Genomic DNA, 4,880 nt, shown 5'->3' with positions numbered 1-4,880 from the left:
CAAGCTCCAGAACAGCTTTCTCTGAAAGGACATGTGAAAGATAATTTTTCAAGATCTGCATGCTATACAGTATTTACTCTTGTGTTTATTGACAGTTTGGTTAGGGAAAGGATTATTGGTTAGAAATAATTTTCCCTCAGAATTTTGAAGACATTGTTTCATTATTTTCTACCATCCAATATTGTTGCTATATACCCAAAGCCACCCTGATTCCTGCTTTTTTTGCACTCCTCCCCACATTTTTAGACTTTCTTTCTAACTCTTGGGAATCATTTAGCTTCTTCTGTCAGTTCTGATTTCAGAACTCTTTGTTTACCCACCTCTTTTCCATCTTCTTTTTTTTTCTGCCACCCAGATAATTTTTTTCTCTTCCAACTTCCATTAGGTGTTCCAGTGTGCTACCATGTTTTTATTTTTTCCATGGGTTTATATGTGCTCTTTACTCTCTGTATGGCTCCTATCTCCTTCAGAAAACTTTGTTGACCTCTCCTATTAGATGCTGAATTGAGCATTTCCCATGTATTACCTTGTATCCTCTTTGTCCACCCTTCCTCCAGCCATTTGCTGGTGTTCACCTAAAGGAAGAAGCTGAGGCACAAAATATAACTTTAAGTAGTTTACTTGAGGCAAGATGCTCACAGCTGCCTAGAATACTGAGACCCTAGATATGTACTCCATTTTGTCTTTGTTACAAGCAGGTTTTTAAAGGCAAAGGGGTACAGGGAGTGGGAAGATACAAAGTTGTTTGTTGGGAGTTCTCACTGGTTTATGGAAATTACATTAATTAGTGATTGACTAGACATTGTTATTTGTATCATGAATTCCAGGAACATGAAGATCATGGGTGAGGTCACATTGTGAAACTTGCAGTAACATTTTAGGTCATTTATCAGCTAGTCTAGAAACTACAGGGAAGAAAAGAAAGAACTAAATGCCTTTAAATAATTGCCCCTGGCCATGGGTGCAGGGCTGACTGAAGTTTCCTACTCTCTGGGCCTGATAAATTTTGCATAACTCACATTCCTCAGACTGCTCTGAGCTATTTTTCTTTCTCACTGCATTGATTAACTTTGCAAAGTGTGGCCAGAAGAGTCCACTTCCCTGAACCCTGCACCTCTTGCTCTCCACATCAGGGTCAGGGGAGCCATATAAGTGTGGCTGACATCAGGGTCAGATGACACCACATAAGGGTCACCTGTGGAACTCACCTGGCATGCACACGTGTGCTACCTCATAGCACATGGACATGGCACCACAGGGGCATTCTTGACGATTTGGGGTATGGGGGTGGTGGGGACATGATATAGTTTGAATATGTCTCTACCGAAATCTCATGTTGAAATATAACCCTCAATGCTGGAGGTGGGGCCTGGTGGGAGGTGATTGGATCCTGGGGGTGGATTTCTCATGAATGGTTTAGCACCATCTCGTTGGTGCTGTTCTAGTGACAGTGAGTGAGTTCTTGTGAGATTTGGTTGTTTAAAAGTGTGTGGCACCTCCCCCTTGTTTTCTTGCTCCTCCTTTCCTCATGTGATGAGTCTGCTTCCTGTTTGCTTTCCACCATGATTGTAAGTTTCCAGAAGCCTCCCCAGAAGCCAAGTAGATATTGACACCACACTTCCTGTACAGCCTGCAGAAATATGAGCCAATTAAACTTCTCTTCTTCATAAATTACCCTGTATCAGGTATTTGTTATAGCAATGCAAGAATGGCATAACACAGGATGTCAGCTTTAAATAATGAGATTCAGAGAATGTGATTAAGTATTGCAAACCAAAAATAAAATCCTAAGCCACCCAACCTGTTGGAGGCATTTAAGCCAGACTGATTCCATCTTGAATAAGGGCTAGGTACAGTAAGGATGAGACCTGCTGTGCTGCATTCCCAGGAGATTAGGCATTCTTAGTCACAGGATCAAACAGAAGGCTGGCACAAGATACAGGTCACGAAGACCCTGCTGATAAAACAGGTTGTGGTAAAGAAGCCTGCCGAAACCCATCCAAACCAAGATGGCAACGAAAGTGACCTCTGGTCCTCCTCACTGCTCATTATATGCTAATTATAATGCCTTAGAATGCTAGGAGACACTCCCACCAGTGCCACGACAGTTTATAAATGCCATGACAATGTCCAGAAGCTACCCTGTATGGTCTAAAAAGGGGAGGGAACCTCAGTTCCAGGAAATCTCTGCCTCTTTCCCAGAAAACTTATGAATAACCCACCCCTGTTTATCATATGATCAAGAAATAACTATAAGTATGTTCAGTAGAGCAGCCCATGCCCTACACTGCCTATGGAGTAGCCATTCTTTTATTCCTTTACTTTATTAATAAACTTGATTTCACTTTACTCTTTGGACTCACCCAAAATTCTTTCTTGCATAAGGCCAGAAACTCTCTTTTGGGGTCTGGATCGGGACCCCTTTCTGGTAACAAACTGACTGAATAGATTCCCCCATCTTGGCCACAGGAAACTTAGAGAATTGTGAAAAGCTGAATTCCAGACCATGCTGGAAAGTGATGTGAGACACACCTCATTATACCCATCCTTTAAAGGTTTAGGGACAAGGGACCAGCATTAGCATTAAAATAGAGACCACAGACTCAAAAAACAGACCCTTTGTGGCAAAAAGGTGCCAAATTCCAACCTGACTCTGGTATCAATCACAAGTCAGAAGCAGACCCTGAAGGAAATAAAAATATTTTATCCCAGAATATATTTCTTTGACATGTTTTGAAATGGTCCTGAAAAGCTGTCTTTTGTGGGAGAAATTTGCATCTGCAGTGAATCTCCATGAGTATAATCAGGCATTTCCTAGATCTAGCAGAGAGTAACAACAAGTCTGATACCTTTTAAGATCTGGAAGGAGACATTTATCATCCATTCCTTCTGAAGCCAGTTACCTGGAGGCTTCATCTACATAACAAGAACCTTGGTCTCTGCAACTCCCCTTTATCTTAACTCAAGCACTTCTTTCTGATGACTTCGAGTCTTTAGACAAAGCTTAACTCTTCAAACCAATTGTCAATCAGAAGATCTTTGAATCTACTTATGACCTGTAAACCCACCTTCCCCAAGATATCCCACCTCTTTAGGTGGAATCAATATACACCTTTATGATTTTACCTACAACTCCTATCTCCCTAAAATGTATAAAACCAAACTGTAACCCAGCTGCCTTGGGAACACTTTCTCAAGATCTGTTGAGACTGTTTCCCAAGCCATGGTCACTCATACTGGCTCAGAATAAACCTCTTTAAATATCTTACAGAGGTGTTTTTTGTTTTTTTGTGTTTTTTTTTTTTGGCTTTTTTCTTCATTCCATCCAGAGTATAGAGTTTATATGAGCACAAAGCTTGAGGGTGGCCACCCAGGAAAGCACTGACTCCAGATGAAAGGGGGTCAACATTTCCAGAGTGGGAAAGTTATGGTTTCATTTACATAGGCAGAGACAGAAAAGTTCCAACAGAATCACAACAGTTTCCTTACAAGACCAGGTGCAGGTGCCACAGCTATTTGGTTGGTTACAGATTACTTTATTATTCCATGAGGAGGGGTGGTGATCTGAGGGGGTCTTTTCTCTGGTGCACTTTGGTCTTAATCATTTATAGAAAAAAGGCAGAAGTCACAGCTGCTTGCACATGACTCAAGTTGCATAGCCACGTTCCCTCAAGGTCAGGATAAGTTAAAGTTCAAACTTTCATACATTTGAATTATTTTAAGTTTGAATTTTTGAATTTAACCAAGAGGACTCCTTTCTTCTATATCTTGTGTGGAAAATTTTGAGGGGTATTCCACATGACCTCCCAGAGGAAGCCCAGCAAGAGTGAACCCCAGTTGCCCACAGTGGCGACCTGCTCAAGGCACAAGCTTGAATTGTCTTTATTCCTTTGCCTGCTTTGCTTCTTCCAGTTTTTATTCCTATTCTCTAGGGTCATGCTCCCTGAATAAATTCTCCTCCACCAAACTATTTTCTCAGCATCTGATTTCCTGCCTGGAACTCAAACTAAAGCAATAGGTATCTGCATTTTTTAAGCGAACTTGCTATGTAATACTAAGAGTTCTATATTAAATTAAGGTTTCCTCCCAAAACCAAGTTTGGGAGGATAGCAAGTGGTGGGGATGTAGAGTTAGAAGTAGTCTGGCCAGGCCTCAGCCTGTTGTCCCCAAGGAAGACAAAGGGAAGCCCCAATTCCTTACTCCATTGTTGCAAGTTACTGTCATGGAGGGAAATGTCTCCTCATGAGCATGTGTATTAAAATAGAGACAGCTGCAGCAATGGTGATGCTGAATTCCATTCCTTTTTTATTATTGACTTCAGGCCCTAATAAAGCCCATTTGAACAGAATGAGTAGAGAACAGAATTAAATGGAGAAGGATAAGCCAGCTTCAAACTGAACATTGTTAGTTCTTCCATGATTTGCAAAATACATCTAGGTTCTAAAACATCTGTGGAAATGACAATCAGTAATTTTCATTTAAATAGAGGAAAAAAAACCTTCAAATGATAAAGGAAAGTGGATTAGACTGTTTTCTCAACTATGTCATGCTAACTTTAAACACAGATTAAAGGGGAAAATGTCTTCCAAATTAAGCTAATATTTCAAATTGCATCTTTAATGTCATCTTGTAAATATATCTCTCTTCAGTGGGTATCAGTTTGAACTGAAAAGTAGATGTCTTTGTTCCTCAACTATTAGTTTGGTTATTTTATCCCCTGCAAGGATGTTTGGATTGCACTTGGTTACAAGTGACATAAAACCTGAGACAATGACCTGAACAATAACAACACAAAAGGTTGTTTCTCTTCACCTGACAAGTCCGAGGTAGGCAGCTGTTGCCATTGGTTCAGTGGCTTGACAACATGAAAGCAGGTGGTA

This window comes from Homo sapiens, chromosome 20, assembly GCF_000001405.40.
Source record: "Homo sapiens chromosome 20, GRCh38.p14 Primary Assembly".
In the NCBI taxonomy this organism is placed as follows: Eukaryota; Metazoa; Chordata; class Mammalia; order Primates; family Hominidae; genus Homo; species Homo sapiens.
This window is presented reverse-complemented; position numbering follows the sequence as displayed.